General features: G+C 47.2%; 1 protein-coding gene and 1 pseudogene across 4 annotated transcripts in view, besides 1 other annotated feature; one reads left to right on the forward strand and one right to left on the reverse strand.

The window, feature by feature from the left end:
* Positions 1-26,970, reverse strand: part of GNG4 (G protein subunit gamma 4) — a 102,924-nt gene that overhangs the window by 53,271 nt on the left and 22,683 nt on the right. Inside the window, exon 1 of one of the 4 annotated variants that reach the window (XM_047418084.1) lies at positions 26,140-26,162. The exons of the other annotated variants lie outside the window; for them this stretch is intronic. The gene's annotated coding sequence lies outside the window, so the exon portion shown is untranslated. Of the gene's footprint in view, positions 1-26,139; positions 26,163-26,970 lie in introns of those variants that run through there. 4 annotated transcript variants of the gene reach the window in all.
* On the forward strand, positions 14,445-15,639 carry LOC100131725 (solute carrier family 39 member 14 pseudogene; annotated as a pseudogene).
* Positions 21,712-22,212: an enhancer, noted in NCBI's record as "H3K4me1 hESC enhancer chr1:235785967-235786467 (GRCh37/hg19 assembly coordinates)". NCBI's record gives its function as "activates a minimal SCP1, AML or CMV promoter by ChIP-STARR-seq in naive H9 embryonic stem cells {active_cell/tissue: H9 hESC(naive)}" and the evidence as "EXISTENCE:reporter gene assay evidence [ECO:0000049][PMID:30033119]".

The raw sequence follows: 26,970 nt of genomic DNA on the forward strand, positions 1-26,970 counted from the left end.
CAGTCCCTATGAACGTGACTCTGGTGTGCATGAAAGAATAAACTGAGGCTTCAACAGAGACTTTAATTCCCCATGGCTGCTGCTGTTTCAGTTCTTAAATGGAGCTAAATTAACTCTGGGTTGTGAAGGGTAATGACCCAGAGTCATGCAGATGTACTGATGGCTCCAACAACTTCCTTACTTTGAGAAACAGTGATGATACAGGGAAGGTGTCTAAAACCCCTTGTTAGGGTATGGGATAGGCTGGTGGGCTGACATCTGAAATACATTCCAAGCAATGGATGAAAGATGTGGCTACTAGAATTAATTAAATCATCTAAAAGAGGAGCCCCCTAGTGGTGCTCGGCTTTGAGGCACAGGTGTGAGGTCTCTGCTCTCACAGAGCTTACTGCCTGGTGAGGGGCGCCATGGACTGCTGGAATCACCATGCTGATCCATGAATATTCTTATGAGGGAGGCGCCCGGCTCTCAGTGTATAACCAAAGAACTTGACCTGGACTTTAGCATCTACATTGCTTTCTATGATAGATTCTGAAGCCGTAAGATGGAATGAGACTTGCCCGCCCTCAAAGAGCTCAGGTGCTGAGGGAGAGATGTATAAATAAGCAATGATCATATTGTCATGGGTGTATGTGGGCTGGCTGTCCACAGAACCCATGCTCCCCTTCCTCTCACAGGAATGTCATGGTGACAGGGCAGGTGGCCCCTGGATAGATATTCCCCAGGGTCGCTTGCAGCTACGTGTGGCTTTGTGACTCACGTCTTGCCAATGGAGATGCCGACGATGAATGAGTGGAAATGATGGGTGCCGCTTCCAGGCCTGGGCTTTCAGATATCATTTGGGGACCTCTGAGCTCTTTCCCATCACACGTGGATGTGTCTACAGCTTAAGTTCAACAAGGGCAGGCGAGGACAGTGGCCTGAGTGGTGCCTCCAGGTGTGGTCCCTGGACCGGAGGCATCAATGTCCCCTGGGAACGTGTCAGAAATGCAAATGCTTGGGCCCACTCAGACCTACCAAAATAGAAGCTCTGGGGCCAGGCACAGTGGCTCACGCCTGTAATCCCAGCACTTTGGGAGGCCGAGGCGGGTGGATCACCTGAGGTCAGAAGTTTGAGACCAGCCTGGCCAACATAGTGAAACCCCGTCTCTACTAAAAATACAAAAATTAGCCAGGCATGGTGGCAGGTGCCTATAATTCCAGCTACTGAAGAGGCTGAGGCAGGAGAATCACTTGAACCCAGGAGGCGGAGGTTGCAGTGAGCTGAGATCGCGCCATTGCACTCCAGCCTGGTCCACAGAGCGAGACCCGATCTCAACAACAACAACAAAAAAGAAGCTCTGGGCGTGGGAAAGTGCTTAACAAGGCCTCCAGGTGGTTCTGATGCTCAAGACAATCTGAGAAGCACAGTCCTGGGGGACGAGAGAGAAACAAAACGGAAAGAGCCCACGTCCCCAAATTCCCCCTGGAGCTGAGCGGCCCCGTTAGCCTGGCTTCTTACTTCTGGGCTCATATGAGAAAGTGAAATACATTTCCACACTCTTTAAGTCACCGTGTTTCTGCGTCTCTTGGTCACAGCAGCTTTGCATCTCACTAACCGATACAGTATTTCAACAGAGGTTAGTATACTGGATGGCTGCCTTGAAAATGCTTTTAAACCTGAGACAGAAGTACTCATTTAAGAGCTTGTATTTGGGAAACTCAATACAATGAGGCACTCAGGTCTAACAAGGATTCCACCTAGTGAAACTGTGTTTATTTCTAGGGTCTAACATTTTACCCTAAAATTCTGTTAGATGCTAGGCCCACCAGATAGCACTGCTTTTGCACCAACATTCAGGCTGGGTTCTCCTAGCGTTCATCGTGAGCATTAAGATTCCCCCCTTTCAGCTGTAAGAAAAATTGGCTTTGAATTGTCACAAGAATTTCACTAACTGAGTTGACATCTTGGCATTCCCTCAAGAATAGAGGTCACGTTCGCTTCCACACAGGGATCTAAAAGGGAGGGGAGGGCCGGGTGCGGTTGCTCACACCTGTAATCCCAGCACTTTGGGAGGTGGGCAAATCAGTTGAAGTCAGGAGTTCCAGATCAGCCTGGCCAACATAGTGAAACCCTGTCTTTACTAAAAATACAAAAATTAGCCAGGTGTGGTGGCAGGTGCCTGAAGTCCCAGCTACTTGGGAGGCTAAGGCAGGAGAATCGCATGAGTCTGGGAGGTGGAGGTTGCAGTGAGCAGAGATCGCGCCACTTGCACTCCAGCCTGGACAACAGAGCAAGACTCTATCTCAATAATGATAATAATAATTAATAATAATAATAATAATAATAATAATAAAAGGCAGGGGAAGTCCTAATTCACCTGGATGTCATAATCGCTGTGGCAGCAAAGGGCACAGCCTTTCTATCTGTACACGTGGATGTGTAAGGTGGCATTTTAGCACCACATGATCAATTCTGCTGTTTCTCAGTCATCCTAGGCTGGAGCTGAATGTCCTGACCCCTGAAGGGAGTGCAGGGAACGAGGTGCCCTCCCACCCAGACACCCAGGGCTCTACGTTTGCAGTAGGAACACCGTCCCCCTCGCAGGGGGATGACTCTTCCCCACTCCGACTTCAACCACTTTGCAAATTAAGTACTGTGATAGGCAAGCTTGATACATTTTACAGTATGGGTCTCAATTACTCAACTTACATCTTGAGTGCCCGATAGCATCCAGCTGGTCTAATAACACCTAATCACACAGATGCTAAACAAGTCCAGGGATTCGAAGCTTTGGGCAGGGCATGGGTTGTAATGGACTTGAGAGACAACCACAGTTTCTTAGGAAGAGCACGCGGGGTCCGAACGACGCTGGGGCCTGCTGGTCACCTGTCACCTTATCTGGTCCTTATTAAGGTCAAGAAAATTAGAGAAGGTTGGCAGACCAGCGGTTATACTTAAGAACATTTGACAAATTAGTGCAGAATAAACAACAGAAAGAGAAACTAGATCCACCTTCCGTGGGACCCTTCACGCTATCCACTCCCTCACCTAGCTGGCCACCCAGACACTCCCTGACCATTGCTTCGGCCTTGCAGGTAGAAATCAAAACTCTTAATCAACAGGAGAAGATGTTAGAAGTTTACTCGTGGCCTGAGGCTCTTACATCAGCCCTTACTGACTGTGATGTTAATTCTTTCTGACTGCTGGGTTATTCAAGTTACTCAAACTGGACCACGGTGTTGACCGGCACGTATGGAGGAACACAAACCTGTGTCTGGTGTGTTTGTACAGTCTATAAACCTTACAGTCTAGAATGAATTCATTGTCATTCGAGTCTATCGCAGCTCTACTGAAGTGGGCAGATCACCACACGGGGGACGAAAAGGTAGTTGAGCGATGGCGTGGCTGGGCCACGTCTCAGCTTCCTAGAGCTGTGGGAACAAATTACTACAAACCGTGTGGTTCTAAGCAACAAAAATTTATTCTCTCACAGCTCCGGAGGCTGGAAGTCCAAAATCAAGGTGTTGGCAGGGTCACGCTCCCTCTGAAGGCCCCAGGAGAAAATCCTTCTTCCTCATCTTTTCCTATCATCTGGTGACCTCTGATAACACTTGACATTCAATCCTTGATTTGTAGACATCACTCCAATCTCTGCCCCCATCTTCACATAACCCACTTCTCTGTGTCTCACCGTGTCATCTTCGCTCCTTATAAAGATACCAGCCATTGGTCTTAGGTCCCACTTTAATCCAGTATGACCTCAACTTAATCATATTTGCAAAGACCCACTTTCCAAATAAAGTCATATTCTGAAGTTCTGGATATATATGAATTCTGGGGGTAAACTCTGAACTCAGTATAGTCAGGAACCCAGAAATGTGGCCACAAGTCTGTGCTCACTACTACAAAGAATCAGATTTTGTTGTTGTTGTTCTTTGTAATACCTACAAGAAACGCCTCTCTGACAATTGTATGGCGTTTCATGGCTGTGGGAGAGGAATGTATCTCAGGGTGATGGGAGCATGAACTGAGAAGCAGAATTTATAACCTATACTCACCTCAATTTTTTTCACTTGTAAAATGAGAAAATTGAGATCCGGCCAGCTAAGTCATTTGTCCAAAGCCATTAAATAGCTAATAAGCAGCAAAAATAAGGTGAGAACCCCATATCATTCATTCATTCATTAAACACATACTATGTCAGGCATCTCACTGAAGAAATGAGGAAGTGGGTGGAGGTGGAATATGATTCCTGCCTTTTTTTTTTTTTTAAATGGAGTCTCACTGTGTTGCCCAGGCTGGAGTGCAGCGGCACGATCCCGGCTCACTACAACCTCCGCCTCCCAGGTTCAAGCGATTCTCTTGCCTTAGCCTCCCAAGTAGCTAGGATTACAGGCATGCGCCACCACGCCCAGCTAATATTTGTATTTTTAGTCGAGATGGCTAGGCTGGTCTCGAACTCTGGACCTCAGGTGGTCCGCCCGCCTTGGCCTCCCAAAGTGCTGAGATTACAGGTGTGAGCCACCGTGCCTGGCCCGTGATTCCTGCCTTCTATTTATGTGGAGACAAAACTAACAGCAGCAAACTCAACAATCAAATCAAGGTGCTACCACAGAGGTCAGTAAAGGGTAGAGGGGCCAAGAAGGAGATGATCGATTCAGGTAAGGAGAAGGTTAGGAAGGGCTTTATACTCAATTTGAGCCTAGGAAGATGAATGGGACCCACTAGGCACTGTGATCAGAGAGGGGGAGTTCCAGGCAGAAGTCCCATGCAAGTGTGGTGTTGCAGCATGGGTAAAGACGGAGCAACTGAGAACCAGCCTGGCACTTTCAGGAAACCCTGGGTGGTCCCTTATTCCTGAAGCCCAGGAGGTCAGGGAGCAGACCAGGAAGGGCCTTGAGTGCCACACTAAGAGTGTGGGACTGGTATCATGTAGGCAGGTGTCATCAAATGAAGGGTTATTTAACAGAGAAGTAAAAAGATTGCTGTTACATTTTATTTTTTTGATTGAGAGTGTGGGGGGGTGGGTCTCACTGTGTTGCCCAGGCTGGTCTTGCACTCTTGGGCTTAAGTGATCCTCTGGCCTCAGCCTCCCAAGTAGCTGGGATTATAGGCGTACCACCATGCTCTGCTGTTACATTCTAGAAAGGTCACTTCAACCTAGTGTGGAGAATGGATCAGAGGTGAACAAGATAAACAAGCAGACCGAGGTGGGCGGATCATGAAGTCAGGAGTTCGAGACCAGCCTGGCCTGAACATAGTGAAACCCCATCTCTATTAAAAAATACAAAAAATTAGCCAGGCATGGTGGCATGCACCTGTAACCCCAGCTACTCGGGAGGCTGAGGAAGGAGAATCGCTTGAACCCAGGAGGCAGAGGTTGCAGTGAGCTGAGATCGTGCCACTGAACTTCAGCCTGGGCGACAGAGCAAGACTCCGTCTTAAAAAAAAGAAAAATCAAACAGACCAATGAGGAAACCATGGGAGTCTAGATACTGGCTCTGGTAGGGAGACGGGGTGGAGAGCCAGGTGGTGAGGGTGGAAGAGCCAGGGGATGTGGTTAGGATCTGGATGCTGGGGAGGGGGGAAAGGAAGGCATATCTGGGCTGACCACCAGGGAGATGGTGCTGTGCTGTTCCGCACGCTTAGGAAAAGAGCAAGTGGAATGGGGTGCAGAGTTCACATAGGGCCAGGCTGAACTTAGGAGGCCTTTGGGAAACTGAGAAGCACATGGCCAGCAGACAGGAGGACTGATAGAGATGGAATTCACAGGGAGTTTGGGCTGAAGACGGAGCTGAGCAACTCATGACTTGTAGGGGCAGGGGAAGTCCTGGCTGTGGGAGGCTCATGGGCCAGGGGGAGCATGGGTCAGAAGGCTGGGCTGCGTGCAGAGCCTTTGGCCCAAAGCAGCATGGGGGGGCGAGCAGAGGAAGGAAGCCGCATGCTCACTTCTCCAGTAGCTAGCTTCCTTCCTTCCTTCCCTCCCTCCCTCCTTCCTTTCTTTCCTTTTTTTTTTTTTTTTTTTTGAGACAGAGTCTCACCCAGGCTGGAGTGCAGTCGTGTGATCTCAGCTCACTGCAACCTCCGCCTTCTGGGTTGAAGCAATTCTCCTGCCTCAGCCTCATGAGTAGCTGGGATTACAGGTGCGCACCACCACACCCAGCTAATTTTTTTTTATTTTTATTTTTAGTAGAAATGGGGTTTCACTATGTTGGCCAGGCTGGTCTTGAACTCCTGACCTCAAATGATCCCCCCGCCTTGGCCTCCCACAGTGCTGGGATGACAGGTATGAACCATCGCACCCAGCCCTGAAGGTTTCTTTCTATGTTCTTCAATCTGTACTTTTCAGATTTGTGGAGGTAAAAGATTACTTAGTGCCAATAAAACTAATTATTCTTTCCAGACCAAATATTGAAATGGTGCTAAATGGAGAAGTGACAGATGAGCTATGGTGTCACCACCAACATCAGATTACACAGCACGGATGGACAGTGTGTTGTTCAATGAGGTTGCTGGCCATCGCCACTGGGTGCACCGTGGGGCCTACTCTCGGGAGGCAGCCGCCTACAGCGGAAAGCATGCAGACAAGTGGTTCTGTGAATTATCTGAAGCAAATGCATTGTACTTCACAGACTCTGTAGTAGAAAACCACCAGTGTGAATTTAGTGGGTCACGCGCTTTGATCAGGGAGAATGAGTTCGCAGCAGTTCATCCATCCACGCCGCCCAGCCTGACTCCCTTTCATGCCATCCCATCGGCACGGCTTTTCAGTATTCTTGCTAGGGTTAGGGTGCAGCCTCCTACTTCAGAGCAAAGCCACAAGAGCAGAAGTCATGAGGCCACCCTCCCTGCCTCTCTCCGGGAGGGTGTCTCCTGCCCAGCACAGGGCCCAGCCCCCTCCCCTCACTTTAGTCCATTCTGATGTGGGACTTTGAGGCTGTCCAAGAAAGATGAGGTGACTCCATCCTCTGGGACCAGCTACAGGAAATGCTGTTTCTATTTTTTTTTTTTTTTTTTGAGATGGAATCTCGCTCTGTCACCCAGGCTGGAGTGCGGTGGCGTGATCTTGGCTCACTGCAACCTCTGCCTCCCAGGCTCAGGCCATTCTCCTTCCTGAGCCTCCTGAGTTGCTGGGACTACAGGCGCACGCCACCATGCCCAGCTAATTTTTGTATTTTTAGTAAAGACACGGTTTGACCTTGTTGGCCAGGATGGTCTCGAACTCCTGACCTCATGATCCACCCACCTCGGCCTCCCAAAGTGCTGGGATTACAGGTGTGAGCCACTGCACCTGGCCAGGAAATGCTGTTTCTAAAGGCTGCTGCCAGCTGCTGCCAACTATGTTTTATCACTTACCATTTCCTTTTTAAAAAAATACCAAATTCACATTGAAATGCTTGAATTAAAAAAGTATTGAGGTTCAATTCACTTACAATAAAATTAATCATTTTAAAATGAGCAACTCAGTGACGTTTAGTACATCCACAATGTTGTGCAACCACCAACACTATTTAGTTCCAAAGCACGTCCACACCTTCAGAATAAAACCTCATTCCATTAAGCAGTTCTCCATTAAGCAGTTCTCTTCACTTCCCGCTCCTCCCAGATCCTGGCAACCAACAGTCTGCTTTCTGTCTCTACAGATTTACCCATTCTGGACATTTCACATAAATAAAATCACAAAATATGCAGTCTTTTGTGACTGGATTCTTCCTTTGTTTTCTTTTTTACTTAGTTTTTTATTTTTTATTTTTTTTTTTTTTGAGACGGAGTCTCACTCTGTCACCCAGGCTGAAGTGCAGTGGTGCAATCTCGGCTCACTGCAACCTCCGCCTCCCGAGTTGAAGTAATCCTCCTGCCTCAGCCTCCTGAGTAGCTGGGATTACAGGTGCCCACCATCACGCCCAGCTAATTTTTGTGTTTTTAGTAGAGACGGGGTTTTGCCATGTTGGCCAGGCTGATCTGGAGCTCCTGAGCTGAGGTGATCCACCCGCCTCGGCCTCCTAAAGTGCTGGGATTACAGGTATGAGCCACTGTGTCTGGCTCCTCAATTTTTTTTTGTTGTTGTTGTTAAATAGAGACAGGGGTCTCACATTGCTGTCTAGGCTTGTCTCAAACACCTGGCTCCAAGCGATCTTCTTACCTTGGCCTCCCAAAGTGCTGGGATTGTAGGCATGAGCCACCGCACCTGGCCAGCTTTTTTCACTTAGTGTAATGTTTTCAGGATTCATGCATGTTGTAGCATGTATCAGTATTTCATTCCCTTTTATGGCTGAAGAGTATTCCATGATGCAGGTGCACCACATTTAGTTTATCGGCCCATCTGCTGATAGACATTTGGGCTGTTTCCATCTTTTGGCTATTGTGAATAATGCTGCCACGAACATGTATTTGAGTACCTATTTTGAACCATTTTACATTCTCATCAGCAATAGCTCCAATTTCTTCACATCCTTGCCAACATATGTTATTTTCCACTTTTTGGGTTATAGCCATCCTCGTGGGTGTGAAGTGGTACCCTCTCTTGGTTGTGATTCGCATTTGCCTAATGACTAATGATGTGGAGCATCTTTTCATATGCTTGTTGGCATCATTTACTTTAAAAAAAAAGTCTTAACATTAAATATTTTGAATTTTGTAACAATTCAAGTTTTCAGAAAGGTTGCAAGTATAGCATAAAGAAAAGTTTCCTGGCCGGGCGCAGTGGCTCACACCTGTAATCCTAGCACTTTGAGAGGCCAAGGCAGGCAGATCACTTGAGCTCAGGAGTTCGAGACTAGCCTGGACAACATGGTGAAACCCCATCTCTACAAAAAAAATTAGCCGGGTGTGGTGGCACACACTTGTAGTCCCAGCTACTCGGGAGGCTGAGGCTACAGTGAGCTGAGATCACGTCATTGCACACCAGCCTGAATGACAGAGCGAGACCCTGTCTCAAAAAAAGAAAAGAAAAAAAAAGTTTCTTGAACCACTTGAATGGGAGATGTCAACCTAACTGCCTGTCAGCCCTGAATACTTCTTATTTCCTACACAGAAAGACATGATAGAGCCATCAAAGTTAGGAAACTATTATTGATACGTTACCATCATCTAATCCTCTAACGCTATTCAGATTTCATCAAATGCACCAGTAATGCCCTGCACGGTAGTAAATTCAGCTGAGAATCACACGCCACATGGAGTTCTTATGCCTCTTTAACCCCTCAGCCCTTCCTTGACTTTGACGACCCACAGCACTTTCCAAGATAGCGGCCGTTATTTTGTAGAACACCCCTCAATTCGGGCTTCTTTTCTGTCTCCTCATAAGATGCAGGTGTTATCCTTTGCCAGGAACATCACAGAAGACAAACTGCATTCTTCTCATTGCATCCTATCCAGTAGCCCAAGATGTCACCTTGTCCCATTAATGATGTTCGTTGTCATCACGTGATTAAGGTGGTGTCTGCCAAGTTTCTTCACTGTAGTTACTTTTTATTTTTGTAATGAATAAGAATTTGTGGAAAGATACCTTGAAACTGTCTAAACTTGTTCCTTATCAAACTTTCAATATATTCAATTATTGGCTGCTATTAGGAGGCACTCAGGGTTTTCTGTTTTATTCAGTAGGCTACAATTCATTACTATCAGTATTTATTTTGATGTATAAATTGTCCTGGATTTGGCCAGTGGGAGCCCCTTCAAGCTGGTTCCTGTGTCTTTCTCGAATGTCTTTATCATTTTTGATTAATTTCTGACTTTCCTACCATTGCCTATTCAAGGTGCTAGAAAAAGGCTCCTGTTTCAAATTCCTACCAAACTGCTGATTTCCTCTTTCTCTCACCCTGGCCATGTGTCTCTGTCAAGATAAAAAAAAGCACTGCAAGAGGCTGGGCGTGGTGGCTCACTCCTGTAATCCCAACACTTTGGGAGGCTGAGGAGGGCGGATCACCTGAGGTCAGGAGTTCAAGACCAGCCTGGCTAACATGGTGAAACCCCATCTCTACTGAAAAAAATACAAAAATTTGCCAGGCGTGGTGGCCCATGCCTGTAGTCCCAGCTACGCAGGAGGCTGAGGCAGGAGAATCACTTCAACCCAGGAGGCGGAGTTTGCAGTGAGCTGAAATAGTGCCACTGCAATCCAGCCTGGGCGGCAGAGCGAGACTTCATCTCAAAGAAAAAATAAAAAATAAAAAGAAGCACTGCAAAAGAGATAAAATGTAGTTACCCACAGGGCAGAGATTCTCTCTCTCTCTCTTTTTTTTTTTTTTGAAACAGGGTTTCACTCCGTCACCCAGGCTGGAGTGAAGTGGTACCATCATGGCTCACTGCAGCCTCAACTTCCTGGGCTTAAGTGATCCTCCCACCTCAGCCACCTGAGTAGCTGAGACTACAGGTGTGTGCCACCATGCTGGACTAATTTTTATTATTTTTTACTTTTTGTAGGACAGGGTCTTGCCATGTTGCCCTGGATGGTCTGGAACTCCTGGGCTCAAGCAGTCCTCCCACTTTGCCTACCAATGTGCTGGGATTATACATGTGGGCCATTGCGTCCTCCCTGGACCGAGATTCTTGAATATGTAGTGCCCAGCACCAGCAGGAAGTCAGTGAGTAGATTTGACCATTGGTTGGATGTATATCTGTGACTTAGGGTCCATAAAGATCTTTTGAAGAACTGGGCACTAATCCCAACTTCGCATTAGACAATGTTGCCAAGCAGGTGGGTTGTTTTTTAGCATATTTGAGAAGGGGGAAAGAGCCCACTAACTTTCTGGGCAAATTTGGGCAAATTACCAACCATTGTGGGTCTCAGTTTCGACTGTTAACAGGGTTGCCTGAGCATTGCCAGTATATATGATGAAGTATTGGCCAGGTGTGGTGGCTCTTGCCTGTAATCCCAGTCTTTGGGAGGTCGAGGCGGGAGGATCGCTTGAGTCCAGGAGTTCAAGAACAGCCGAGGCAACATAGTACGACCTCATCTCTACAAAAAATAAATAAAATTGGCCAGGTATGGTGGCACATGCTTGTAGTCCCAGATACTCAGGAGGCTGAGGCATGAGAATTGCTTGAGCCTGGGAGGTTGAGGTTACAATGAGCTGAGATTGTGCCACTGCACTCCAGCCTGGGCGACAGAGTGAGACTTTGTCTCACAAAAAAAAAAAAAAAAAAAAAAAAAAGAGGAGAAAGAAAAAGAAAACGAAGTACTTACAAATATAAGGGTTGGCTCCTCATTGGTTATCAGATGGAAGACAGCCCCTCTTTAGCCCAGGACAACGTCGAAGATTGACTAGACATTCAGACTCACAAGACGATGACAGAACGTGCTCCGATCTATTCAGAAGGATGGGGACAGAGGCCCTGGCCTGCCAGCAGAACAATGCCAGGCTGCCTTGTGTGAGGAGTCCTGGAGAATTTCTCACAGCAGAGTATGTAACATCCAGGAGTTATCTTAGCCCCATGTGATGGTCATGGTGCAAACAGACGGGGCCTTCACAGGGAGGTGCAGGGTCTGCGTGGGAAGATGCGCACCACAGGGCAGTATCTCGGGGACGTGACTTTCACAAGCGTCACTGTCTTGGTTCACCTGGGCTGCTATAACAAAATACCATAAATTGGGTAGGTTTTTTGGAGACGGGGTCTCACTGTCACCCAGGCTGGAGTGCAGTGGTACGATCATGACTCATTGCAGCCTTGACATCCCAGGCTCAAGTGATCCTCCTGCCCCAGCCTCCCAAGTATCTGGAACTACAGGTGCACGCCACTACGCCTGGCTAAGTTTTGTATTTTTAGTAAAGATGGGGTTTCGCTATGTTACCCAGGCTGGTCTTGAACACCTGGGCTCAAGTGATCCACCCGCCTTGGCCTCCCAAAGTGCTGGGATCACAGGCATGAGCCATCATGCCCGTCCTGGGTAGCTTTTAAACTACAAAATTTATTCTCACAGTTCCCTGAGCTTAGAAATTCAGGCTCAGGGTGCCAGCATGGTCAGGTTGTGACAAGGGCCCTTTTCTGGGCGGCAGACTGTTCACCTCTCACTGTGTCCTCACATGAGGGAAGGGGCAAACAGGCTCCTCAGGCTTCTTTTATAAGGGCACAAGTCCAATTCATGAGGGCTCTGCCCCCATGATCTAATCACCTCCTAAAGCCCCAGTACTACTGCACTGGGGATTAGATTTCAACACAGAATTTTTTTTGGAGGGGTGGGGGGGTCACAAACATTCAGACCATAGCAGTCACCAAAATGCTGAGAAGTTCAAAGCATGGCGTCTACATCAGATATTTAAATTCCATTCCTAGCTACTCCCAGTCCATATGTAATTCACCAGTCAGGGGCCATTTTTACCATAAGCAATGTTGCCTGGCAATGTAGTTGACATATAGCATCTTAACTGGTTTACAGGGTGAGGCAGGCAGAATAATGGCTTCCCAAAGTTATCTGTGTCCTACTCCCCAGAACCTGTGAACATGATAATGGGGGTTTTAGGTTGCAGATGCAATTAACTAAGGTTGCTAACTAGCTGACCTTAAGACAGGCAGGTTATCATGGATTATCCTAGTGGACCCTATGCAATCACAAGGGGCCTTGTAAGTGAAAGAGTGAGGCAGGAGAGTCGGTGTCAGTCAGAGAGAGAGATGAAGATGCTACACTGCTGGCTTTGAAGGTGGAAGGGGGCCACAAGTGAAGGGAAGTGTCCAGCCTCTAGAAGCTGGAAAAGGCAAGAAGGATTTTCTCCTGGTGTTTCCTGAAGAAACACAGCTCTGCCAACAGCTTGGTTTTACCCTACTGAGATTCATTTTGGACTTCTGACCTCTAGAACTGTAATATAATAAACTGGTGTTAAGTCACTAAGCATGTGGTAACTTGCTACGGCAGCAATACAGGGTAACAGAGCTAGGTAGTTGCCAAGGTTGGGTTCTCATGCAGCAGAGGAAGAGGGTGTGTGAACCTTTCAAGCAGTCCTGACATATAAGGCTGGCAATCTTCACCTCCTGGGTTCAAGTGATCCTCCCACCTCAGCCTCCTGAGTAGCTGGGACCACAGGTGTGAGTCACCACGACTGGCTAATTTTTGTATTTATTGTAGAGACGGGCTTCATCATATTACCCAGGCTGGTGTCAAAATCCTGAGCTCAAGTGATCTGCCTGCCTCAGCCTTCCAAAGTGTTGGAATTACAGGCGTGAGCCGCTGCGCCTGGCCTAGATTCTCCATTTCTTCTGTGTGATCTTTGGTTGTTTGTGTTTTCCATAGAATTTATCCATTTCATTTCAGCTGCTGAATTTATGGCCATAACATTCTTTGTAATATCCTTTTTATGTATGTAGGTCTGTAGTGATGTTCCGTCTTTCATTTCTGATATTGGTCATTTGTATTTTTTTTTTCTTGGATGGTCTGGCTAGAGATTTATTTTTATGACTCTTTTCACAAAAGCAGCTTTTGGTTTCATTGACTCTTTTTTCTGTCCTCAATTTTACTGATTTCTGCTTTATTATTCTATATTATTTCCTTTCTCTGCTTCTTTTGAATTTCTCTCTCTCTCTCTTTAGTTTATTAAAGCAAAAGCTGAGGTCAGTGATTAGAGAGACCTTCCTTTTTTTCTAAAATAAACATTTTTGCCTGACACAGGGATCAGGGTTCAGGCAGATGGGTGCCTGTGCAGACGTATGGACTGAGCTGCTCCTGCCGTAGCCAGCAACCCTGGGGCCCTGCAGCTGAGGCTGCATGGGGGTGGCTGCTGTCTGCTTGAGTGTCAGGCTTATTTGGTGACCATGAAGCTGCTGTACCTGGCCTTCCACAGCTGCCTCCTACTGGCCCTGCTCAGCGCATGGTGAACTGCTCCTGAGGATCATGCGTCACCCACAGGCGTGCACGCTGTCAGTGCTACCTCTTTCCTGTGGGATAAACTCAGCAGCTGAATCTGGATGTGGCAGTGGGCTGGGAGCAGCCTCATCCTGCTCAACTACCTGGAATTGGGAGTGAGGTGGGATAAGGTCACTGAGCCCATGCAGGGACAGAGGAACCTCTCGATGTGCTTTAGTTCTGGAGACTGCTTTGCTGCCCACAATTTCAGTGGCAGTCATGGATTGGAAGGAGTGAGCTCCAGGAGCTCTGCCGCCATTCTCCAGGAGCTAGATTCCTGGCCCGCACCTCTGTGGACCAGGAGAACGAGAGAATGCATAGATCGAAGAGGGGAGGCTGAGCACAATTGAAGTGTGGGGATATAGTCTCCTCTGTGTGACCATTATCATGGATTATCCTGGTGGAACCAATTACCATGGATTATCACAAGGGACCTTGTAAGTGAAAGGGCGAGCAGAAGAGTCAGTGTCAGAGTCAGAGAGAGATCTGAGGACGCTACACTGCTGGCTTTGAAGGTGGAAGGGGGCCACAAGCGAAGGGGAGTGTGCAGCCTCTAGAAGCTGGATAAGGCAAGAAAAAGGATTCTCTGTCATGCTGTTCAATGCTGGGATGACCATCTAGTGCAACTGAAGTGTGGGGATACGATCTCCTCTATGTGACTGTCATCTCCCTCTGCTCCCTCATGGGCACCATCGTGGTGCCTTCAAGAAGGCCTTTTACAGAAGGAAGCTGCTGCTCCACGTCATAGCTCTGGCGATTGGAATCCTCTAGTCCAATGTGCTCTCCTAGCTCATTCCTGGGGCTTTTGATTTCAACCCTCTGGAAGATGATTATGTGTCCAAGTCTGCAGTGGTGTCTGGGGGCTTTTATTTTTATTTTTCAGAGATCTTGAAGATGTTTCTCAAACAGGAAAATGAACATCACATAGACATAGCCATTATGCCTCTGAGAGGCTTCCTTCCAAGAAGCACCAGGAGGAGGGGGGTGATGGAGAAGCTGCAGAATGGGGACCTGGACCACATGAGCCCTCAGCACTGCCACAGTGAACTGGATGGCAAGCAGTCCATGATGGATGGGAAGGTCGTGGTGGGCTCACTCTCTGTGCTGGTTCTGCAGGCTCCCCAGAGTGCCTGCTGGAGCTGAAAGGTGTCCACTACTTTATCAGCACTCTGGCCTGGGTGATCACCCTAAGCAACAGCCTCCACAATGTCCTCAGCAGCCTGGCCACTGGCGCCTCTTTCACCGTCTGTGTGGTCCAAGGCCTCGGCACCTGGTGGCCGTCTTCCATGAGGAGTTCCCACATGACTTTGTCATCCTGCTTAGCGCTAGGAGGACCATTCAGCACTGTCTTCTTCAACCCCCTTCCGCCTGCTGCTATGTGGGTCTGGCCTTTGGCATCCTGGCCAGCAGCCACTTCTCTGCCAACTGAATTTTTGTGCTGGTTGGAGGAATGTTCTTGAATATTGCTGTGGTTGATATGTTCCCTGAGACGAATGAGGTCTGCCAAGAGGATGGGAGGAAGGGCAGCATCTCCATCCCCTTTGTCATTCAGAACCTGGGTCTGTTGGCCAGATTCACCGTCATGCTGGTCCTCGTGATATATTCAGGACAGATCCAGATTGGGTAGGGCCCTGCCAGGAGCCTGTGGGATGGGAAGTCAGGCCCTGGGCTGCCCGATCCCTGGCCTGAGGACTCGCCATCCACAAAGCACCGTGGAAGAGGTTGTTCCATGAAAAACTTACACAGATTGTATTCCCGCCTTCAGATGTCAGCGGTGTTTACAATGCTCTGTCCTAGGAAGAAACGTCCCTAGTAACCAGTCTCCAGGTAGTACCTCTCACCCTCTCCTCACCTCCTTTTCTCTCTGTGACTCTGGAACCTGAATGCAGCTTGCAAGACAAGCCTTTTTCTCTGATTACCCTCGCCTCTTTCCCTTGGAACCAGTGCTGAAAGATGTGTGTGTGTGTGTGTGCGCGCGTGTTTTGAGATGGAGATTTGCTCTGTCACCCAGGCCGGAGTGCAGTGGCACGATGTCAGCTCACTGAAACCTCCACCTTCCAGGTTCAAGCGATTCTCCTGCCTCAGCCTCCCCAGTAGCAGGGATTACAGGCACCCACAAACACACCTGGCTAATTTTTTTTTTTTTTTTTTTTTCAGTAGAGATGGGTTTTCGCCATGCTGGCCAGGCTGGTCTCGAACTCCTGACCTCAGGTGATCCATCTGTCTCAGCCTCCCAAAGTGCTGCCATTACAGGCGTGAGCCACTGTGCCCTGCCCAGTGCCGAAAGATTTTGAATCCTTTACCTGACAATGCAAAAATACAGCCAGTGGTTTTAACTTGGTTAGAAATATCAAGAGGTGAATCCATAGTTTGGGGCCCATGACATTGGCTGGGCATCCTGGACCTCCGGCTGGCCAGTTTTGAAACAGGTTCACCTCTTCTTACAGAGAAGATGCAGGAATCCCTCTTATTTTTTCAAAGTCTGCTTAGTTGCCTATTACTTCTCTCAGAGAGAATTCTAAGTGAGAACAGATGACAGGGTGAGAGGGGAGGCAGGGATCATCCGGAGTGGGAGAGAAAGTGGGACGGATGCTCTGTGTCTTGTCATTTTGCTCATCTGCTCCTAGCAGAATGCTGGGTATTGATTTGGGGGCAGCACCTGGTATTTCCTGGCTGTCCAGGTGAGCTAATGTGGAGGTAATGTAGCTTCCTGGACCTCCTCTTTCAGGTCAACACTGACAGAATGGAAGGTCAGAGAGTCTACAAGGAAACAATGTTTTGCTGTGATTCCCACTTCCCTTCCCCACTCCTATCTTCTAAGAGACTTGCAGGCTGGGTGCGGTGGCTCACGCCTGTAATCCCAGCACTTTGGGAGGCTGAGGTGGGTGGATCACCTGAGGCCAGGAGTTCAAGACCAGCCTGACCAACATAGTGAAACCCCATCTCTACTAAAAATACAAAAACTAGCCAGGTGTGTTGGTGTGCACCTGTAGTTCCAGCTATTTGGGAGGCTGAGGCATGAGAATTGCTTGAATCTGTGAGGCGGAGGTTGCAGTGAGCTGAGATTGTGCCACCGCACTCCACCCTGGGCGACAGAGTGAGACTCTGCCTCTATCTAAAAAAAAAAAAAAAAAAAGAAAGAAAAGAAAAGACAAGACAAGACTTGGGAGCTGCCTCCCTAAAAGCACATTCTGAGCATATTTCAGACATCTCTGTTAGAAGGCAGACTGCACAAACTATCCTCCCCTAGTGGAGATATCTGCACAGTGGCAAGCTGACTGGTAGAATTGGAATGCAGTTTATGCTCTGCTTAAACAAGGGTAATCAGAAATGGAATCAGTGCAAGCAAAATTTAGGATTTGCTACTTCCATAAATAAAAGCATGAATAACAGGGGTCTCTGAAATGTAAGGTCACAAACTTAGTTTGGGGCACTGCAGATGTTTGCAGAATGGCAGCCCAGTGATTATGCTACAGATGGGCTTTCAATCACCTGTGTAGGTTACCGCTTCCTCCCTCACACACACACAAAAAGTGGAATCCTTCGTTGAACTGAATATGAATATGAATTGCTCTGATTCTGCCCAGAAAATGGACGGATATACTTGTCTGTAAAACCGTGGGCCAGCCTCAGGCACGCTGGATCCCTTGCCTCAGAACTCTGGCTTCAAGGAAAGCTAATCTGCAGGGCTCACTGTGTGAATCGATTTATTACTATCACATGGATAACATGAGTTTCTTTAGCCAATTTGGGAAGCCAGACTCTCCAGAAGCCTTTCTCAGTGGTGCCTGCAGTTGCAGCCCAGGGGCTGTGTTCACAAACTGATTCGTGTGCATGATTCACAAGAGTACTGCTTCATTGCCATTGCCTAAATTTTTAATCTTTTTGTTTTTTTTTTTTTGAGACAGAGTCTCACTCTGTCACCGAGGCTGGAGTGCAGTGGCGTGATCTCGGCTCACTGCAACCTCTGTCTCCTGGGTTCAAGCAATTCTCCTGCCTCAGCCTCCTGAGTAGCTGGGATTACAGGCATGTGCCACCCCACCTGGCTAATTTTTGTATTTTTAGTAGAGACGGGGTTTCACCATGTTGGCCGGGCTGGTCTCGAACTCCTGAGTCCAAGTGATCCTCCCACCTTGGCTTCCCAAAGTGTTGGGATTATAGGCGTGAGCCACTGCACGCCGCCAGTGAGTTTTTCATCTTCTTAGACAGAAAACTGTCCACTCTTAGTCATTAAAGGCAGCATCAGCTGGGTGTGGTGAGTTCACGCCTGTAATCCCAGCACTTTGGGAGGCTGAGGTGGGAGGATCACTTGGGCTGAGGAGTTCAAGACCACCCTCGGCAACATTGCAAACGCTGTCTCTAAAAAAAAAAAAAAAAAAAAAAAATTTATATATATATATATATACACACACATATATATACACACACACATATATATATATACACACACACATATATATATACACAAAAATTAATTAGCTGGGTGTGGTGGTGTGGGCCTGTAGTCCCAAATACTTGCAGGGCTGAGGTGGGAGGATCACTTGATCCTGGGAGGTGGAGGCTGCAGTGAGCCAAGATTGCGCCACTGCACTCCGGCCTGGGTGACAGAGCAAGACTGTCTCAGGGAAAAAAACAAAAAAGCATCAGTTTTGTTTTCCCTTCCTGGGAGACATCTCTCAAACCAGGGATATTCTTGAAAAGAGCATGAGCAAGGAAACTGCTGGTGATATTACAAGTTTCTCTCCTTATCTTGCCTGTTGACTTCAATAGATTTGAGAATAGGCTGAAGAGGGAGGAAAACTTCAGTGATTGAGATTCTAGATGAAATATCAGGACTGACTCCTGATAGGATTATGGTCCAGGTTAACCAAAAACCAATTCCTTGAATGTTGAAATCTAACTTTTTATATTATCTTTATTATTGTTATAAAAACAGTTCTTCATCTTTTCTGTTTTATTTTTCTAAAACTGCTTTCAGGAGCTACCAGAAAATAACACTCAAAGTTTATGACTCTGGAAGATTTTGCTTTCCCTAACTCACATCGATGTATTAAATGTATAATTTTAGCATTCCCTATAGATCTTCTTATACCTTAAAAATAATAGCCTTTGTTTTGGAGAAGAAAGTACTAAGTTAGAGTTAGCAGGTTTCTTGTTTAGGAGAGGAGCTCAAAAATATAACCTTTAACAAATTGAAAAATAAAATATGAAATAATAGGGTGCTTTCTCTTTTGTGCACAGCTATATTAAGAAATTTCCTTTCATAGACAGCTACCTCAAAGGGAAATCCTTTTAAAACTTTCGTTGGAGGTTGGGCGTGGTGGCTCACGCCTGTAATCCCAGCGCTTTGGGAGGCTGAGGTGGGTGGATCACCTGAGGTCGGGAGTTCGAGACCAGCCTGACCAACATGGAGAAACCCTGTCTCTATTAAAAATATAAAAAATTAGGCGGGCATGTTGGTGCACGTCTGTAATCCCAGCTACGTGGGTGGCTGAGGCAGAAGAATTGCTTGAACCGGGGAGGTGGAGGTTGCGGTGAGCCGAGATCACACCATTGCACTCCAGCCTGGGCGACAAGAGTGAAACTCTATTTCAAAAAACAAAACAAAACAACACAAAACTCTTTGGGTGCAGAGGTCAGTCCTAGTCGGAACTTAGTGGGGCTGGAGACAGTCATATTATCTCCTGACTGTAAGTTGCCGTTGGCAACAGCTTTGCCTGGTGAGTTGGACTTCTGGGTGTTGAATGTGCAGTTTGTTTGTTTGTTTGTTTGTTTGTTTTTGAGACGGAGTCTCGCTCTATTGCCCAGACTGGAGTGCAGTGGCGTGATCTCGGCTCACTGCAAGCTCCGCCTCCCGCGTTCATGCCATTCTCCTGCCTCAGCCTCCCATGTAGCTGGGACTACAGGTGCCCGCCACCACGCCCAGCTAAGTTTTTATATTTTTAGTAGAGACAGGGTTTCACCGTGTTAGCCAGGAAGGTCTAGATCTCCTGACCTCGTGATCCACCTGCCTCGGCCTCTCAAAGTGCTGGGATTACAGGCGTGAGCCACTGCGCCCGGCCAAATGTGCTGTTTTAAGCATTTGTACATCTAGAAGTCTAAGGAATAGCCAGTTGTTCTAAAGACTTTTCACCCCTGGCATTAGTAGCTTCAACCTCTTTCTGGATGGACCAGCCCCTGTTAATGTTACCAAGGAAAGTACATGTCACATGCAGGAACAGTAAGCCAGCACCAGGTGTCTGCTCCTTCTCACCTAGTCACTGGCAGGCAGGCTGCCCCTGTCCTTGCTCCTACAGGTATTTTGTGTCTAATGTCAATTTTGGGGGCTATTCCTCATTGGTCCGTCACCTTGGGTTTAAAAAAAAGGAGGCTCTGTTTGGGTTGCCTAAGATCTGGTCTTAGTAAGCCCTCTTCTGACGAGATGGTAATATGCTGGAGATTAGCCAAAAAAAAAAAAAAAGTCTAATTTTTTTTTAATTTTTCTTTTTTCTTTCCTTTTTTTCTTTTTCTTTTTCTTTTCTTTTCTTTTTTTTTTTTGAGACAGAGTCTTGCTCTGTCACCCAGGCTGGAGTGCAGTGGCTCAATCTTGGCTCACTGCAGCCTCTGCCTCCTGGGTTTAAGCGATCCTCCCACCTCAGCCTCCTGAGTAGCTGGGACTACAGGTGTGCGCCACCATGCCTGGCTAATTATTTTTGTATTTCTAGTAGAGATGGGGTTTCACCATTTTGGCCAGGCTGGTCTCAAACTCCTGAACTCAAGTGATCTGCCCACCTCAGTCTCCCAGCATACTGGGATTACAGGTGTGAGCCACTGCACCTGGCAAAAAAAAGTTGTCCGATATTTGTGTGAGAGGATTTTATTGTTCATATTTCCCTTTACAGTTCTGCAATTCCACTGCAGTATTTTACCCTTTTTTTTTTTGGAGACAGAGTCTTGCTCAGTCACCCAGGCTGGAGTGCAGTGGCATGATCACGGCTCACTGCAGCTTTGACCTCCTGGGCTTAAGTGAGCCTCCTGCCTCAGCCTCCTGAATAGCTGGGACTACAGGAGTGCACCACCATGTCTGGCTAATTTTTGTATTTTTAGTAGAGATGGGGTTTTGCCATGTTGCTCAGGTTGGTCTCGAACTCCAAGGTTCAAGCCATCCTCCCACCTCGGCCTCCCAGAGTGCTGGGATTACAGGCATGAGCCACCGCACCTGGCCTCCAGCACATTGTTTTAAAAAATAACTCAGCTCTTATGAAAAGAAATTAGAAAATAAAATTAACTTATGTGGACTGTAAATGATTTGTAAGATTCTATAAATAAAGCTATATTCTATAAAAATGAAACGAAATAAAATCAGCATTTAATGGTATGAATTTCCCTTTAATCACTGAGTCCCACACATTTTTATATCAATTCAAAATATTTTCTAATTTCTCTTTTGATTTCCTTTTTGAACCATGGGCTATTTAGAAGTGTGTTGTTAGATTAGGTGAGGTTAGATTCTGATCTCAGCTTAATTTTTAGTCTTTGCAACTCCAAGAGACGTGAGTAGTGGTATGAATCCTAATTCTGTTCTCAAAGCTTTTGCTATGTTACTTTGGTTCTGTCCTAAGCATGTGTAGCTAAGGGGTGAGGCTGGAACTTTTGTGGTTCATAAAAAGAGTTAGATGAGGCTGGGCGCGGTAGCTCACACCTGTAATCCCAGCATTTTGGGAGGCTGAGTTGGGCAGATCACTTGAGGCCAGGAGTTTGAGACCAGCTGGGCCAACATGGTGAAACCCCATCTCTACTAAAAATACAAAAATTCGGCCAGGCACGGTGGCTCACCTGAGGTCAGGTGGCTCACCCAGCACTTTGGGAGGCCGAGGCGGGTGGATCACCTGAGGTCAGCAGTTCGATCACCTGAGGTCAGGAGTTCGAGACCAGCCTGGCCAACATGGTGAAACCCCGTCTCTACTAAAAATACAAAAATTAGTCAGGTGTGGTGGTGGACCCCAGCTACTCAGGAGGCTGAGGCAGAAGAATCGCTTGAACCTGCTGGGAGGTGGAGGTTGCAGTGAGCCGAGATTGCACCATTGCACTCTAGCCTGGTGACAGAGTAAGACTCCATCTCAAAAAAAAAAAAAAAAAATAGCCAGGCGTGATGGTGCATGCTTGTAATCCCAGCTACTCGGGAGGCTGAGGCAGGAGAATCGCTTGAACCCGGGAAGCAGAGGTTGCAGTGAGCTGAGATCGCGCCACTGCACTCCACCCTGGGCAACAGAGCGAGCCTCTGTTTCAAGAAAAAAATAAAAAAGAATGAGATGATCCACTTCTCACACTCTCTCCTCTCCAGGGTTTCTGCCACACCCTCCAGTTCAAAAGGGCACCTTTTCCTGTTTCCCTGACCAGAAAGACAGGGTTTATCTTGGAGATTTAGCCTGCATGCAGCCACCACTGTGCAATTCTGAACTGGGGCCCGTTCTTGGGGCAAAGCTGTGAGAGAAAGGAGAAAAAGAAAAAAAAGGATCACAGGGTTCCCTTTCCCCAGTTCCTCTCGCCAGCCATGTGGGGTTTCCATCAGAACATTCGCTACCTGCACGGCCACCGCTGCAGCCCTGCTCTTGGGCCCACTCAGGTCAAAGCCACAAGAATAAGGAGAAAACAAATGTAAAGGACACTCCCATCCACACAGGTGACTTCGTGGCTTCTGCCTGTCCTCCCCAATCCACATGCTCTTATGTGATTCGTGAGTCCTCAGGGAGTTGCTTTTTATATTTTTCCAGCGTTTTTGCTGCAGTCTGCAGGAGAGACGGGCTGTAGCGGGCTTGCTCCATCCTGGGCTCTCCATATGCCACTCCCTCTGCTGAGAACGCTCTTCCTTTCTTGTCTGGTGAGCACCTATTCCACTCCCATACCTTGCATCAGCTGTCCTGACCTCCAGGGAATCTTTCCTGACCTCCAGAGGATCTTTCCTGACCACTTTCACCTTTTAAATTCAGAGCGGGGGGTGCCTCCGCCACAGCAGCCCCCCTCATCATGCTGTCTCCCCAGCAACCAGCAGCTGGGGTAGGAGAAAGACCTCCTCTTTCATGCACATCTCTGTATTCCCAGCTTGCAAAAAGCTGAGGGAAGAATGATTATTTCTATTATCTATCTGATTCTCTACTAAAGAGACAAAATGGACATCTAAAAATCACAATAACACAAAAACTCCACAATGTTTAAATGCTGTGAGCCGAAGACGGAGGGTCCTCCGAGCCTTTGCCTGGCCAGAGTACAGGTGAAAAGCACATGCCTGAAGAGCGTGGCTCTAGCAGTCCCTTCAAAGATCATCTAGTACTTCAGTCTGTGTGGCCAATTCCTTTTTTTTTTTTTTTTGAGACGGAGTCTCGCTGTATCACCCAGGCTGGAGTGCAGTGGCGTGATCTTGGCTCACTGCAACCTCTGCCTCCTGGGTGCAAGCAATTCTCCTGCCTCAGCCCCCCGAGTAGCTGGGATTACAGCCACGCACCACCACGCCCGGCTAATTTTTGTATTTTTTTTTTTTTAGTAGAGATGGGGGTTTCACCATGGTGCCCAGGCTGGTCTCAAACTCCTGACCTCAAGTGACCCACCCGCCTCAACCTCCCAAAGTGTTGAGATTGCAAGTGTGAGCCCCCGTGCCCGGCTGCCAATTCCATTTTGACATGATATTGTTTCAATAGAAAGGCTATTTTTACAAAGTAGAAAGTGACAGTTAGAGGAAAATGATAATTTTGAGTTTTCCATTTCATTTTTTAACTGAAGAAAAGACAAAAGCTGTCATATTCCAGCTCCTAGCATTATTCAAGAAGAATGAATTTTCTATAACCATTCCTCGGGCAAACCATTCATTTTTACATTCCTGAAGAATTAACTTTGTTAAAAAACAGGATGTCTTTGTTCCAGAGTATCAAGGTTTTGCTTAACATTGTGTGCAATTTTGCTTCTCATTTCATTTGCTTCCTATGAGATTTTTTTAGCGCTAAGACAGATCAAAGAAGGTTTCCTTGTTGCCTTTGGCTCCACTACCATTTCCTCTCCCAGCTCCTCAGCTAACTGGTTATTTGCTTGGCCAGTAGTGCTATTTGCAAACAGGCTCCTGAACACTGGGAGAAGATGGTTGCTGGTAAATTGCAGCTTGTGGGAATGTCTGCAACACACAGCTGACTTTCTGGAACGTGGGGAACCGCTGACCTCAAACGTAGGTTCAAGGAGGAACCACAGCCTGCTGAGGACCCACACTGAGGTGCTGGTGGATGCGGGCAGCTGCCAAGCTGATGAGGAAGGGTTTCCAAGAAGCAGGTCAGGGCCCCAGCCTGGCAAAGGGGCTCTGGGGCTCTGGGGGAGGGAACGAAGATTGATGTCTTTTGCAGGCCGACCCTGTGACCCACACAAAGCCACAAGAATGATATCCCTTTCCCTTGCTTTCTCCTCTTGCCCTGGGACAGTACTTTTCTTCCCCATTTTCCTAGCCTTCTTCTGCAAACTTCCCGGCATTTAAAAAAAATAAACTTTATTTTTTAGAGCAGTTTTAGGTTCATAGCAAAGGTGAGCACAAAGTACAGAGTTCCCACATAACTCCTGTCCCCAAATAGGCGCAGCCTCCCCCATGAACATCCTGCACCAGAGTGGTCCATTTGTGACCATCAATGACCCAACACTGACACATCAATATCACCTAAAGTCCATAGTTTACAATAGGGCTCACTCTTGGCACTGCACATTCTATGGGCTTTGACAGATGTCTAATGACAGGTGCTCACTATTATGGTGTCACACAGAGGAGTTTCCTGCTCCACCTATTCAACCCTCCCCAACGCCACATTCAGAGCAGGAGGTGCCTCCACCACAGCAACCACTGATCTTTATACTGATTCCATAATTCTGCCTTTTCCAGGATGTCATATAGTGGGAATCACAGTATGTAGCCTTTTCAGACTGATTTCTTTCACTCAGCAATACGTATGTAAGTCTCCTCTATGTTGTGTCATGACTTGATAGCTCATTTCTTTTTTAGTACTGAATACTATTCCATTTTCTGGATGTTTCACAGCTTATTTATCCATTCACCTACTGAAGAACATCTTGGTTGCTTCCGAGTTTGGGCAATTATGAATAAAGCTGCTATAAACATCTGTGTGCAGGTTTTCGTGTGAACATAAGTTTTCAACCCAGGAAAATTCCAAGGAGTGCAATTGCTATAGCATATGGGAAGAGGAGGTGTCGTTTTGTAAGGAACTGCCAAACTGTCTTCCAAAGTGGCTGTTGCATTTTGCATTCCCAACAGCAATGAACAAGAGTGTCTGCTTCTGCAGATCCTGGCCCGCTTTGTGTATTCTCAGGGTTGTGGATTTTGGCCATTCTAAATGGTGTGTAGTGGTTTCTCCTCCTTTTCATTTGCATTTCCCTAATGACATATGATGTTGAGCTTCTCTTCAAATGCCATCTTTGTATCTTTGGTAAGATGCCTTTTCAAAACTTTTGCTCATCTTTAATAGGATTTTGTTTTGTTTTGTTTTCTATTGAGTTTTAAGAGTTCTTTTGTATTCTGAGTGACAGCATTTATCAGATGTCTTGCAAATGTCTTCTCCCAATCTGTGACTTGTCTGCTCATTCTCTTGACTTTCCCAAGCTTTTCAAAGCTCATAGGGAGGGCCTGGGACTAGAGGGAGGCTAGTGAGGGACCTAGAACACAGAATTTAAAGAGGTGATCTATCTCAGGGCCTTGCAAGTGCGATGAGACACGGCCGAGTGCCTCTTTAAATTCTCACCTAATTCTGGTCCTGCTGATGTGGTCAGACCTCAGCTGCACTAATGTCCAGCCCCACCGTCTACTGAGCAAACTCGTCACTCTCTGATAGGACCTTTTCCGTGACCATTGCTGCCAAGACAGCAGCTTCATAAAGAACACCAGGCCGGGCACGGTGGCTGATGCTTGTGATCCCAGCACTTTGGGAGGCCAAGGCAGTCGGATCACCTGAGGTCAGGAGTTAGGGACCAGCCTGGCCAACATGGTGAAACCCTGTCTCTACTAAAAATACAAAAATTAGCTGGGCGTGGTGGCACATGCCTGTAATCCCAGCTACTTGGGAGGCTGAGGCAGGAGAATGGCTTGAACCCAGGAGGTGGAGTTTGCAGTGAACTGAGATTGCATCACTGCACTCCAGCCTGGGTGACAGAGTGAGACTCTATCTCAAAAAAAAAAAAAAAAAAAAAAAAAAAAAAAAAAAAAAAAAGAACTTAGAACCCAAATTAGAGACTGTCTTTGGGACTGGGAGACTTTCTCATGACAAACAAGAGGAAGAGAAATGCACCATCGCTACTCACAGACCTGAGGGAGGCTCTGTCACTTGGCAGCATGACTTTCTGAAAGCTGTCTTATCTCTCCTAGCCTGGGGTTTTCACACCTGTGGAATAGGTAAAATGCACTTACCCCATGACATAGTTTTTTGTTTGTTTGTTTGTTTTTGTTTTTTTGAGACAGAGTCTCGCTCTGTCTCCCAGGCTGGAGTGCAGTGGCCCAATCTCAGCTCACGACAACCTCCGCCTTCTGGGTTCAAGCAATTCTCCTGCCTCAGCCTCCCGAGTAGCTGGGACTACAGGTGTCCGCCACCATGCCCAGCTAATTTTTGTATTTTTAGTAGAGATGGGGTTTCACCATATTGGCCAGGCTGGTCTCAAACTCCTGACCTTGTAATCTGCCCGCCTCGGCTTCCCAAAGTGCTGGGATTACAGGCATGAGCCACCGCACCTGGCCGACATAGTTTTAGATGAAATGAGATCATGTGAGTGAAGGGTTTGGAAAACTGTCTGGTACGGCACAGGGGGCTGTGAGGAAGTGGCAGCTCTGATCACCACTGATGCATGCAGGAACCAGCTGCGGCAGTCAATCTGTGCTTCAGACTTGTGCTGCAGACCATTTACAATGGCCTCTCCCCAGGACACTGTTGGAAACTGGAAGGCTTCCGGGTATGTTAACTTCATCAGAGAGGAAGACTGGAGTATACTGAACTCTTTGAAAGGAAAATCAGGATCCTTAGTTTCAACCATGAGACTGGATAGTATTTTGTGATATCAACCAATACTTCCCCATTCAAGGAAGGGATGGGTGTGATGGGTTAAAATACAGATATGGGGCCGGGCGTGGTGGCTCATGCCTATA

This window comes from Homo sapiens, chromosome 1, assembly GCF_000001405.40.
Source record: "Homo sapiens chromosome 1, GRCh38.p14 Primary Assembly".
In the NCBI taxonomy this organism is placed as follows: Eukaryota; Metazoa; Chordata; class Mammalia; order Primates; family Hominidae; genus Homo; species Homo sapiens.